This window comes from Homo sapiens, chromosome 2 (genome assembly GCF_000001405.40).
Source record: "Homo sapiens chromosome 2, GRCh38.p14 Primary Assembly".
NCBI classification, from domain to species: domain Eukaryota; kingdom Metazoa; phylum Chordata; class Mammalia; order Primates; family Hominidae; genus Homo; species Homo sapiens.
This window is the reverse complement of record NC_000002.12, coordinates 21295827-21310904: the sequence shown is the minus strand read 5'-3', so window position 1 is coordinate 21310904 and position 15078 is coordinate 21295827.

The window sequence follows — 15078 nt, the reverse complement described above, 5'->3', positions numbered from 1 at the left end:
TTATTATAATGTAACTAAACCATTTTTCCAGATTAAAGAAATGAATATGGGTAATTTTTTAACATGAAAATGAAGGCATATTATTGATGCAGATTTGAAAGAAAATGCAAAAGCTGCTACTACAACTGGAAAGGTAAAGAAAAAAAAAAAGCCTGGAAGAAAGTATGTCACATGTTTTATGATGCATGGTGACTGCAATTTGTTGCAGCCAAGCAAACCAAAAAAAAAAAAAATGTGGTTTGTTGTGTAACAAGTTTTTCGAGATAACAAAGTAAAAAATGCTGAGACATTTTCAGCCAATATATAATGAATTTGATAAGGTTTCTCCCAAGAGTAAAAAAGGCAATCAATAGATTTAGTTACCTGAATTAGAATTAAATATCCAACAATAATTTTGTAAGAGTCTTAATGAGATCTGAGAGTATAACTTTGGTCAGCTATAAAATATCTTAGATTCCTACACAAAATAGAAAATGATTTCTGAATGTAGAGATGGTAAAAAAAATTACTATTCCAGTTATAAAAAGTTTATTTAAAAATTATGAGAAGCCAGGCATGGTGGTGCTCACCTGCAGTCCCAGCTACTCTGGAGGCTGATGCTGGAGCATCACTTGAGCCCAGGAGTTTGAGACCAGCATGGGAACAGAGTAAGACTCCATCTCTAAAATAAAAATTTTTAATTAAATAAAGAATTTTAAAATTATGAGAAAAATATAGAAAACATGTTTTAGAAATAGTAAAAGATCATCAATTAAGCAATAAAACAAGTATCAATAGAATACTAGACCTTTCTAACACTATCAAAAATAGATTCAAATTTGAAAAATTGCGAGTACTTTTATTTAGCTTTATATGAATCACACAATATTAAGAGACACAGCCCAATTAATACGTTGGTATATTTTGTCCCATTTTGACTTCCAAATGTATAAACAAATGTCAATTTGCAACCTAAAAAATCAGACTCATCACATAGACTTTTAAAATGTTTTGTAACTCTCAAAAAACAGTTTCACCTAAATATGAAAAATTTGTTTCCATCACTAATCCAAGTTTGACTTAACACTACTGTTAAGTTACTGGAATTTTAAAACAAGACACTGATGTTTCCCTTATTGATTTGTCCCACTATCTGATACATACTTGAAATATTCGTGTTCAGTTTTCTGAAGCAAACTCTAGGAAAATCATCATTGATATAGTTGTTAAAACTATGCAGTGTATATGTGCAAAAGCTACGAATTGTCACCAGGTTATAGAATATTTGAAAGAACTAAAAAACAATAAAATTAATAATCTTATATCGGATGAGTAATGGAAGAGTTGTACAGAAATTTCCTGAACTATAATCTCCAAATCCAATAAACTGTAAACTTCTCAAAACAAAAAGAATGCTTGCCAAATATCCAGTAATTAAAGGCAACAAATGGCAATGCAATGTACATTTTCTCACTGATGTTACACTGCATCTGAATAAACTGACTTTGAAGCTCTATGGAAAGCAAAAGTGTATTTGTGACTTAGGTACACATATATGCAAATTTATGCTAAAATTAAAAGTTTTCATAATACAAATCAATAAGAATTTTTATGTATTTTTCCAACACGAACCAATATGGAGAAGATTTTAATTGTAATCAATAGTATTAAATAAGTTGATTACAAAAACTATGAGAAGAACTTGGTGAACACTTTTTGACATTGATAAATGTAGGGCTGCTTTTCAATTTGTGCACTAACCCTTTGCATTCCATTTTAATAATACTGAGTTGACAAAAGAGCTAATGAATTTCACTAATTTTAGCAGTCTTAATTTTGAAACTGATGCACATTTGCTTCAAAGTCAAATCAACTCTTTAAAAAAGATACATTCTTTGTGTCAATGTGGATGCAAATATTAAAGAAAAAAATATTCTTTTGGTAATTGATTCAGTTATCAGGTATTTTTAAAGTACGTTGGAAACAATTGGGCATGTGAATCTACTTTTTCAAAGATAAATATTATGAGCTCACATATAGTCCATGAACATTTAGCATCAGAACTGAGATATGCTATGAGTGTAAAACACATCAGAAATATGGAAGACATTGTACCAAAAAAAAAAAAAAACTCACTCACATTTTTATGTTGGTTTCATGTTGAAATAATGTTATTTTGGAAACATTGGGTTAAATAAAGTATATTATTAAAATTAATATTTTCTATTCCCTTTCTTTTTCAATTTGATTACTAGAAAATTTAAATTATACATGTGGCTCATATTTTATTTATATTGGACAGCACTGATCTAGAACTCCCCAGACTATATTTTGATACAGGGCAAGAGAGTTAGCATAGACCTGGAACAAAAATGTAAATGCATGAATTTATCCATTCCATATGATATGAATGTGAACTGTTTCTAAACCATTTTTGTGATTGCAATAAAAAAGATCCAATCGCCAAATCAATGGCTGCTTACCATATACCTTACCATAGGCTGTATTAATCTGCTCTAGAAAACATAACACGTTTGGCAAGGCAGCTATTATTGGGACTACTACGTGTTGAGCTTGCAGTAATCTACCATCATTCTCCAAGTTCCATCCAGCTTTGTCAGGACCAGATTTATGAAATAAATGGAAATATGATGGGAATCTACCATCGTCCTCCAAGTTCCGTCCAGTTTTTGAAAGGGCCAGATTTATGAAATAAATGGAGTTATGATGGAGACCACTACTTCTGCATCCTTTAGATCCTTTAAGTATGACACTAATCTCAATCATCCCCTCTATGATGTGATATTAGTTTTGATTCACTATCTTGACTACAGGGATATGATAGGGTAAGGGGAAGATCCTAGTCTTCCTTCTTTCCTCTGTAGTAGGTCTGACCACACAGACTAATGCCCCAGTACGGTTCTTGCACCAATTGCGAAGTATGTCAAGCACAAATGTATATTAAAGAAGGGGAAAATAACCACCTGACCTCATACAGGACTTCATATGCCTGCCCTCCAACAGGAGCATCATATAATTTAGGTCTTCGGGTATCAATATCAACTCAAATCCATGCTCAATAGTCCTTGGAATGCCTTTGTGATCCCCTTTCCTCAGTGCAGTTACTTATGTAAATGACCTTAGGTGTCTTTGTAGAAGGGCTTGGGAAACGTTACTGCAAGTCTATGCCATGATGTTGCCGTGGTCCTTCTTCCTAGGGACTTAACCACCCCTCTGGGCAATATTCTTAGTTCTGGTTGAACTCTAACAAAACAAACCTACTGTGGTTGAGCATTTAACCACTATCACTTTAAACGTCAGACCCTATCACTATTAAGTCTTAGCTTGGTTCTTGATTTCGAGATGAGAGCTTCTTTGTATGAAACCAAATGCCCTCTGGCTTTCTATTGCATTTACTCACCTTCAACTCTTCATTATCTCACTGTAAAGGATCAGTGGAATTTAGCGATAGCCTTCCAATCCTACCACGCTTATAGATACTATTTACTCATTTCATACATTTATCTCAAAAACCTGATATATCCTGATTGCTAGTACATTTCCTTCCCCCAGTTCACCATCTCATTTCATCACTAGTTAAAGTTTTGACAACAGGAATGTTATCTTTGGCCAAGCGCTGTGTGCATACCAGTGATTGGTACACAGGCTAATCACTTATTGTCAATCTGATGTCTAGAGATCTAAAGCCCCATTTAATCACCTGCTTTTCTTAGACCATGTCCAGTACCAATTTTCACAGGTTGAGCTCTTTGGAAGCAGATGTCAACAAAGAGAGATGAAGGTTTTGATGAAAAACATTGTTCCTTGGAGAAGGTGCACTGGGGCTGGGTCTTGGAATGTAGGATTGAGATAACAGAGAGGCATGGAGAGAATGATCTATAGATATTTCTTAAACAGAGTAAATAAAAATAAATCAGTGATTTGAGAAGATGGATTCTGTGAACAGGATAGATGTGGGGAGAAAGAAAATGGAATTAGGGACTGATCACATATCAGTGGAATCCAAAGAATAGACAATTGGAGAAGAGCAGCTTGAGAGTTGAGGTTTGAGGAACACCTACTTATGAACCACAGGAGAAAAATGGAAGGAGCTAATGGTGAGTAGGGAGAAGAATCTAGTCAATGCCTTAAGAATGCCACAGAAGAAGAATTTTATATAGGCAGCTCATCAGTGAGGCGAACCTACCACAACTCCCACGAGCCAATTTGCACAAGTACTACACTGATACTTAATTTTTCTCAATTAATTTTTTAATGTTTTCTCATTCATTATTTATGACAAATGTGGTTGCCAGATCTTTGATTCTGCCTTCCCTCAAGGTTAGAGTTTATTTCTTTAAATACACAAAAAGAGAAAGCATGTCTTTCCTGAGGAAGTCTGTGAAAATGAGCTGGAGATAAAAATATTTTAGTGAATTATCTTTTCCTGGCTACTGCAACGGCATATCTAGATATCTCATCATTACCAATTTGAGGGGTCAGTAATGCAGCCAATGGCTTGTGTCCAGGACAGAGACCTCCAGAGATGCCCTATGGGTTTGCATCCTTCTGCTGTGATCAGAAATAGGCCAACTGGCAGCACTGCAAAGCTATGGCTCCAGTTGTAAATACACAAAGTCCACTTAGGGGAAATGGTAGCTTATTATTTTCACGTTTAATAAAAGTGTGCATCGCTAATCCTCTCTAAAAGCTTGAGCAGCCATCTCCCTCCAGCATTTTGGAAACGTACAGCCATCAAAACCCACATGCCTCACACCCAGGTTCACTTTATTATCCAGCCTGCATCTCTCTCTTTTCTTCCTAAATCTGTCCGCCAAAACCCCAAACCAGGTCCCACATGGTCTAGGTCTTTTCAACAAAAGTTTCTCTCACCTTCTTGCCTTACATCAAATGTGGCTTTCTCCTGGGGTATCCCCTCTGCTTCCCTCACATCTTGAGACAGATCATTCTTGCACATTCTCTGATAGCTGCTCAATGCTATTTCTAGACAATTTCCCACTGTTTTCCTGTAGAAGGTCCCCTGCTTCTTCCAAGCTTGTGTCATTCTGCTTATGGGCCATTTTCCCGCCACTCATCATCATCATATTTCCAGTCCTGTATCATGTCTCCATCAAAAAAGCCTGCGGCAGCTGGCCCCCAGGGCTCTCATCTCAACCCAGAGCCCTGGGGCCCAGGCTTCCACAATTGCACTCACTTGGCCCAGTCCTCCTCACCTAGGCAACTTCTTTTCTGTTTCTCTTTCCTCTGTCTACATCACGGAGAATTTATTTTTACCAACAACCACTCTATTTCTGAAACAACAACCACAACAAATTCAGATGTTGCCTTCTGAGCACAACACTCTCTTAGCATGATCCCTCTCACACCTCCCACAGTCAACCTTCTGCACACAGAACCTTCCACGGAACCACCTCTTGGTCTCTGCAAGTGTACTCCTGCCTTCACTTTCTTCTCCAATGAGTTTAAACTCTGTGGTCCTCACTCGGTCCCTTTCTTACTAATGTCCTCAACTGTCTTGCCAATATATATTGGCAAATTTGGGCTACCATCACCTCTTTTCCAGACGAATGAAGCAGCTTATCAATTGATTTCCTGGCTTCCCATGGATTCTCCACTCAAGTCTCTAGGATGATCTTTTTTAACTGCAAAGCTGATCACATCACCTCCCCACTTTAAACACTTCAGAGGTTCCCCCATCCTGATTGCTTACAAGGACCTGCCTGATCTACCATTGCTTTAATCTCAAGCCTCATCTCTTCAACGCTCATTTATTAACTTCTGTTCCCATCCTCCTGTCATACTCAAATACTTTCAGTTCTTAGAATGTGTCTTCTCTGCCATTTGCCTCCCCTCCTTTCCCTTCCCCACTTCCCTTCTCCTTCTTTCCTTTCCATCCACTCCCCTCTCTCACTCATCTCTTTCTACAGGATGGTCCTTATCCCCAGAATGATTTTTTCCCTCTCTACTTTCCCTGATTTCTCCTATTTATCCTTCAGATATCAATCTCTCCAGAAAGCATTTCCTGACCTCTAAGTTGGTATAGCTTTCCCCTGCCCTTAGCATAAACTATCTCGACATTATAAAAGTATTATTATCTGAATTGGAATTGCTATAGTTCCTTAGCCTTACACACATGATCACCTCCATCACTCTGTTCGCCATCACACTTCCCACCTTGCCACTCAGGCTCTTCCCACAGCAGAGCAAGCCACCTTTCTCTCCTCATCCACCATCTCTCGTGTAAACTGCATTGTTCATATTTTCCTGAGCTCACCCGTCCTCTCCAACCACAATACTCTCCTGAACATTTCTCCATACACCAAGCTCTTTGATAACTTCATATCTGCATGATTTTTCTTCCTGCTTAAAAAAGCCTGTCCTCTCTAGCAGGAGACTTCCGAATCAGCTTAAAGATTGAGCTCAGATGTCAACTATTATGTAAGTCCAGTTCTCTTCTCTGTGCTTTCTCAGTGCTCTGCTCAGAACTCTCAGAGCACAGAACACTGTAATTCCAGACATAAATGTGCATGTCCCACTGAGACAATGTCCTGAAAGGCATGGCTATCTATTCAATGTTACATCCATGAGGCCTTGTGTGTAGGGAAGGGAGGAAGGGTTTCAATAATCATTAGACAAGTGTGGAATGGTTCACAAACCTCTCCTCAAGTTCCACAATTTTCATGATTTTCCCAAATTCAGCTATGCTTTTCAAACAATCACAATTGTCAGAGAATCACCCATTAAAATGTATGTGCCATTTATTTTGCTTCTAACTAGTCAGTATTTATACACAAAACTGTCTAAACTGCACTGTTTATGTTTTCGTGAGACCACAAGAATTTGCTAAAGGCAAAGTTGGTTGTTTTGACCAGACATTTCCATTTTTTCACAGGAAGATGATGATACAATTTTATCCTAGAACAAACCACAAGCCTAAATAAGAATTTATTAGAACAAAATTGTTGTTTTGTATGTTTGTTATTTCTTCTCAGCCTACCAAATCTACTATCATCTGAATGAAAGGTGTGAAAATGAAAAAGAAACAGCAAAAGAAATTTGACCTTTACTCTAGAATTTGATTAATGATTCTAACTTTCTTGGAAATGGTGTTATTTCACTAAAATATTAAAGCCTTTGGATTGTTATTTACTGAGCCTATAAACCACACATTTCTAAATTGTATTTGTTTTATGACTCACTGTCATTTGAAGTAAAATTAGTTCACTGAAATTACATCTCATACTGCGTAGTAGCCAAATATACATTGTCAATGGATCTAACTTGATACCCTGCCCTCTGACTTTTACAATGAGTCCATAAAATATTGGGAAATCAAGGAAGATGGGATGAGTGTTGTGGGAGAATTCCGCTTGCCCTTTGCTAGAATTTAGCAGAAGGTCAAAGGCAATAAAGTATTTATTTTTCAACCAACAAACATTTGTTGGGTACTTTCTAGGTACCTTGATATGTCTGTAAACTTTGGCAATACAGCAGCAATGAAGGGAAACACCACCACTGTCCTCTGAGAGTTTCCAGTCAAAAACGGGTAAGAGGCAGCTAAATAAGAAGCTACAGTAATGTATGATAAGTGTTATTGCACATGAAGGACAGAGTATCATAATTGCCCTCCTGAAGCTTATAGTCTACTGGGAAACACTTACTAGTCTTGTGGCTGTACAAAATTCCAGAGTTTACTTAAGGATTCTGGTGCAACCAAACTTGGGATATAGTAGACTACAGTCAGGAGAAGCAAAAGGGTCCAGTCTCAGGCTGCCATTTTGTGTTGCCATAAATAACCAGAACACTGAGATAGCTGGTCTGGCCCAGTTGTTAGACTATAGGGAGATTCACTGTTCAAGACTGTTGAGTGGGAAAACAGAAACAAGAAGTGAACATTCCCTGGCACTCAAACCAATAGATGCCAATAGGTTTGGTTAAATTTTCTTTTAGAAATAAATGGAAATAATTAAGTTATCAAACCCTATTGTGTCTAACATACAGTAAGTATTCAAAAATATTTATTGGGTAAGTAAGTGAATAACTTTACAGGCTTTCCAAAGGCAAAAGCAGTCTCTTTATGTCACTGATGACAATGCTTGTTATTGGACCCAGTACTATATAATGATTTGTCCCAGAATACAGAAAAGCAGTGAATGCTGAGTTTTTCAGGAAGGCTGGGACCTTAAAGTCACCACCTTAGAGTAAAATACTCCAATAGAACAGCTACAGATGGAAAGTCAGTATCCCACCTTTATTTGTCCCTGAAGACAAGAGCCTATAAACTTGATCCCTTTGGGTCCCCTGCATTTCTACCATTCAGGGAGAAACTACCAGCTGCATTTACAACTAGATTATCCCAAACAATGCAAATGTGTCTTCATTACATTTTACTAAATTTTCACTCAAATTTGGTTTTCTCAAAACAAAAGTGCCTTGGGATTCTAAAAAGGACCCATTTTCTGTACAAATGTTGGAAGAATCTGTCAGTGGCATGATACTTTTTAGAATATCCAAATCAGCTATGACCTCAGTATAAAGCTGTTCTATAATGGATTTGAGATGTGTAATTTCCAGACTTTACTTGGCAAAAAGATCTCTGTCTTTGCCAAACCACTTAGCAAGTGTTCCCATCACTTCAATCTGTCATGGGTTGTGTTTAATAAGGCATGTGCTTCCACAGCTACCCCCACTAGGCTGACAGGAGCTTGTCACCTGCTAGATGGCTGCAATCACTCTTCCCAATGATAAGGAGATAGAGGAGCATTCTGCATCAACAATGAAATCCTGCGTTCTTTTAGGGTATTCCAGAGATGGTTCTCAGAGGCTATGACCTAGAGATACAGGGCAATTAGAATACCCAATGGAATAGGATAGAAGATGGACACAACACAGATGTCATAAGAGCTACCTACTTTTCTCAATCCCAGTGAAAATTAAAGAGCCAGCATCTCAGAAGTGTTCAAGAGATCATTTTGTTTTAGCCTGGAGATTTTAAACAAATACAACTTTATTTCAGCTTTATAGATGAGAAGGCACACATAAAGAGAGAACAGGTGTGTTGCCCAGAGACAGACAGCAAATCAACAAAATATTTGAGTACAGAAACCAAACCTCTTACCTGAAAATAATCTTCACTAGAGCTCTCAAACTTTTCCACCTAAATATCTTTAATTACAGAAGAGGGTATGCACTCAACCCCAAGGGAAGGAAATAGGAACTCATAGCAGCTGGCCATAAGCATAAAATTTCTCTGAAATCACATGTTGCAATTTTTAAAATTTTTGCAAATTTTGTATTCTACTCAGTGAAGCATCTGTTTGGTTTAATAGAAAATCATTTTTCCTCAAAATTACTAGACAAAATTGGTGCTTCAAGAAGATGCCATGTTTGTTCTACATCTTTGTATATTCTCAGGGATAAGGGCACCCAAGTTCAAGCAACATGCCTACTGCATGAGAATGTAACCATTGTTTCTCTGGCATTCTTCACTCACTCCATCCTAAAACAGTCTTATCATACAAATGGCATTTTGCTGCCTAGACTTACCTCCTGAGATGTAGTCATGGTGGAACAAGACAAGGAAAGAACCACTGTCATCATGCAGTTCTTGATTTTTAAACTCAACCCTCCAGCCTTGAAAGATTTTCCCCAACCCTATGTCATAACACCACTGGATTGGTAGATGAGGGTGAAGAAAGAAAGTCATGAATCCCGGAAGAAACTATCTAAATAAATTGGCTCCTCACCTTCCAAATTTGTACATAAGTGCAACAACACGGAAAGTTCACAGTATTAATAACTATGAGTTGGTCAGGAATACAGAATCAGAAGGTTCTAAGGATCCTTGTTCCATTTGCTAACTTGAGCCTCTTCTCTTGGGAAAGGCAATATTCTATAGTAGGAGTCAAATTCCTTCTTTCAATATCAACTTATTGTCTTTTCTACTGTATTTTTGTTATAATCATTGCCAAAGTTACTTTAGATGTAAGTACTTTACTTTAGATGCAAAATATTAGACAGAAAGAAATGTACACTAATAAGTTAAGCCACTGATGCATGTTGCATGTTGCATACCTTATGTTCAGTCCAAGACTGGCTACTCGAATTTTTAATATTGTGGCATTGTACAGATATCACACACCTACCACTGTAAAGTCAGGTGGTGGTCCTTCCTCTGTTGGAGTATTCTAGGAGACAGCACATTTGATGGCTAATTTTAAGTGTCAATTTGACTGGGCCATGAGGTCCCCAGATATTTGGTCAAACATTATTCTGGGTATGTGTATGAGGGTGTTTCTGGATGAGATTAGCATTTGAATCAGTAGGCTGAGTAAAGCAGATTGCCTTCTCTAATGTGAGTAGGCTTCATTTAGTTAATTGAAGGTCTAAATATTTTTCAAAAGGTGCAGTAAGAAGGAGCTCTCTCTCTCTCTCTCTTTCTGCCTGTCTTTGAGTGGGGACATGCATTTTTTCCTGCCTTTGGACTCAGACTCATACTAGATCTTACACCATCAGTTCTCATGGTCCTTAGGCCTTTGGACTCAGACAGGATCTATACCATTGACTCTCCTAGGTCTCCACTTTGTCAACTGCAGATGCTAGGACTTCTCAGCCTCCATAACTGAAGGAGCCAATTGTTTACAATAAGTCTCTTATAATAAATATATGTACACATTTAACCCTTAAACAACACAGGTTTGAACTGTATGGGTCCACTTACATGTGGATTGTTTTCAACAAGATGCAGATTAAAAATGCAGTACTCAAGGGAGGCAAAACCCTTCTCTATGAAAGGCCAACTTTTCTTATAAGTGGGTTCCATGGGCTGACTGCCAGACTTGAGTATGCACAGATTTTGGCACACGCAGGGGGTCGTGCAATCAATCCTCCATGTATATCAAGGGATGACTTCGTGTGTATACATACATATGTCATTAGCTCTCTTTTTCTGAAGAACATTGACTAATATAGCACCCCACTCCCACTCTCTCCACTAGATCTGGAGCTACTCAGAGATGACTTGCGGCCACTGACTACATCACTGTCATTGCCACTGACTACATCACTGTCATTGTCTCAGTTGCAATTATATAGTAAATGTATTTTTCTCTCATTTTGAAATGTTTCCTTTAAAATGGAAGCATTTACTTGATCTGTGCTATCTTTTATGACTGTTGAGTAACTGAATTTTATGGTATATCTATTACTAATATACTTGGATCCCACAGAGGAATTTATGTGTGTTTCTTAAGTTTAATAAAATATTATGCATATGTTTTTTTATGTTTTGGCAAGATTTCCATTACATTGGCTTGGTGCAGTTTATGCATTTTTTATTTTCTATTTTAATATAGATTCTGTTCCCTGGGATTTCTATTAGTAATGCTGGAAGACTCGGAGCAGGCTTTTAGAAGTAAAAGTTGTTATTTAAACCCTTCCACAATGCATAATTAAATACATGGCAGTGAAGGATGATACCGTACATTTAATAGATGAAGCCAATTACAGTAGCAGCTTTAAGGAAAAAAGTTAGAATTCTAACCCTAGAGTTTGAACCTTAGAAGGTCAGCTAATTACCCATCTCCCCAAACTTATAGCAATGCCCAGGCAACCACATGATCTAATAAAGGAAGCAATGACTAGAGGGCAATGTCTCCAATATTAAGAATAAACTAATGTCCCCAAAGTACTTGGGGCAGGGGGCAGCAAAGTTCCCATAGATTAGAAAGGGGCCACCAATGTCTCCAAACATATCCTATGGGCAACAGTTCCCTGATTGCTGAGAAGGACTTTGTCTGAGCTCACTTTCACCAATCTGCCTTTCCCTCACCCCATCCAGACCTTTCTGTTGCCATATGACCTTTGCACAACTTTACTAGTACTATAGCTGCCCCCTCCCCCAAGCCTACTGCATGTCCCACAATAGCGGCTCCCTCTTCTCTTTTGCATTCTGTACCAAAGACCCGGAGGGAATTCCCTCCCACTCTGACCCACATAGACTGTGACTATGAATATGTCACTGTGATTTTGCCAAGAAGGCACCCCTGGATATCAAGCCTTAAGCCAGGTCAGATTCTACAATCATGTCATCAGACCCTATGCTGGGTGCCAGTGATGCACAGGGCAATAAGACAGAGTCCCTGACTTGGAAAGGAAATCAGACATAAGTGGCTCATTTCAATGAAAGGTCATGGGGGCTCGGAGGCATATGGTGCTAAAGCTTAGAACAGAGTCACTAACTCAGGCCTGGAGTTCAGGAAGGGCTTTCTGGAGACAAAACCTAAACTGAGTCTGAAGGAAGTTGGGAATATGAATGATACAAGTAAAAGGCTTCCTTAACCCTCTCATACTGTACCATCTCCGACTTCTAATTTGCTTTTCCAAAAATAGCCCAATTATATAAAACCCAGGTCCCAAAGCCACAGGGCAACATGTCCTAGTTCCTGGAGTCCTCAGTGGTCAAGACCCCCACAGGATACCATCCGGGAAATCACCTGTTTGATGAGACTAACACACACACACACACACACACTCCTGCTCTCCATCCATGGGGCATCATCTCAGTCTGCAGCATCTCACAAGGGCGTTGTGTTTCCTCATTGCTGCAAGTAATGAAGCTTAAAAATGGCTTCTTCTTTTGTGGGGGAGGCAGGGATATGGGACAAACATCTCAATGCCTGAGAAGAGAAGTTCTAGAAAGACGAAGTAAATGATGCTCATATGCCCTGATTGTGAAGGGTATATCTTCCAATGTTTAGTGAATGGTTACTGCACCCAATTTAGATTTTCAATCCCACAGCCTACCCTGTGTGGGAAGACGAAGAGCCTCAATTTCCAGGTTTATAAATGTCAAAGATGGGATATTCTCACTAAAATTGTGGTAAGCATTTATGTGTTCATTAAATGTGATTGCTGCCATAATGATATACACCTTAAACTCCTTTAACCATTTAAGAGAAAACTTAAACTTCAACAAAACCCCATAGCACAGCATTAAGACCCAGTTTTGTATTTTTTTCTTTTTCCCTTTTAGCAAACCAATTACAGTGCTGGAGTGGGTGAAATACCCCAAGGAATAGTTTATAAGATCACATAGTAATTGGACCAATTTATAGTAGGTAACTGAGAAATGCCTAAAATTGTCATTTCTCCTGGTTAGGGCTGAATAGGAAAGAATGTGATTAATAAATAGCTTAAGCAGCAAACAGAAGGTAGTTACAACGCACCAATGCTCTGGGGAGATGAGGTATTGAGAAAATCATTACAATAAGTACAGGCGGGCGTTTTGCTTAAAAATTCTGAAACAACTTTTGAAAACATCACATTAAGGAGATATTTGGGCTGCAATTGCTTTTTAAAATTTTATTTAAATAGCCATTCGATTAAAAGATCAAACTCTAGATATCTTAAGGTGAATTGAAATCAAGGAGGATTTTTCGGGGTGCATGAAAATCCAGGGGCTCAGGGCCAGATCTTTGACCTCTTCCCACAGTTCCTGTCTAGAAGACAGGGCAGGGCATCAGCTCAGAAGCACGTTGTCACAGTCCCTGCTCTACAATTCCATAACCCAGGAAGGTGAGGAGACATCATTTGGGGAACGATGGGCAGAGTCAGCATGTCTCATTATCTATCCTGGACAGAACCTCAGGCTCCCAGGGGCCTTTTGTTTTACACAAGTTGTTCAGGAAACACACCCCAGTGCTGTATGAATGTCATTCTTCAAACAGAAGAGTGAAAGCTCCAAAGAGGCAGACCTCTGGCCTTGAAAAATTAAGCCCTTCCAGTGGCTTTGGCTTAATTGTGAAGTTTAGGATAAGCTTATCCTGGGCTTCCTTCAATCATTCTTTCTGCCTCTTTTGCTTCCTCAGTCTCTATAAGGGACATAAGTTTATTTTGACCATTTGACATCCTTTCTCTTTTTCTGGAAACAATGCCTCCCTTCTTTAGAATTGTTTCTCCCCGACTCCAGGCTGCTCTGAGGGGGCTGTCAACCACAATGTTTTCCCACTCTCCATATGCCAGCCACAGGAGAGTCTCACAACACAGGCATCACCCAAAGTGGTAACCCCATCCCTTAAGCCACAGTGAGAGGCTCCGGGATGATGTTATAACCCAAGCCACCCCAGTCAGGAGCTTTCCTTCAGGTTTTATATTTGAGTGTCTCTTATTAAATGAGTTAAGAGCTTGGACGATAGAAGCCTGAAGCTGACTCTAGTCCTGTCTCCTGCCCCTATGGTCACAGGGTAGAAGCCTGTCTACAGTTGAAAAGAGTCCTGACTGGTAACTCCTTTTCTGTCTCCTCTTGCCCTGTTCCTATCTGGTACTTCTTTCCTTCAGAGCTTTCCTCTCAAATCACTGTCAGCTAATCCCCACCAGGTTTACCTAATTATTTGTAAATGTTAGTTGCCCTAGCTACAGTCAGCTACAGGCCCACACCAAGAAGAAGTACATATATCCAAAGAGGGTGAAATGGTAGAGTGATTAGAAAACAAGTAATTAAAGAGCTAATCCCAAGTATACAGTGGATGCTCATCTTCAAGAGCGGAAGACTCTGCAAGACGGGAAAGGTAACTGGGAATCTCTTCAGCTCCATCATGTTCTACTAGGTTCAGAAAATAGAAGAGACCAATGTATGGAAAGTTAAAAAATACAGACTTTTTAACAATATAGGTGGAGATTTTTAGGAGTCTGATAATCCTAAATTAGAAAGTTCTCCCATGAAGGATGAGACCCCTGTTGACAGAAGTATTCAACTTCTAAGCAAGGATATTTCTTAAGAAATTTACACAACGGGGTATAAGAATAAATCACCAGCAATGGATTCTAAAATTCTAGGAAGAATCAAAGCAATGGCTCAAAGAGTGGTATGAAGCTACATGACACATTTTATAAACACCCCTACCCATCCTAGTGAAAGCAGAGAGCAACAATGGGCACCCATTCCTTATAAGGAGGCTGCTTAGACTCTAGATTCTTGAGGCTCCCTGGTGCCTATCTGTGTGCAGGAAGGAAGTCTAGCTGGAGATGCTGAACATGTTGGGCTGAGCATGCTTAGGGGCAAGTAGCTCAAAGTGCAGT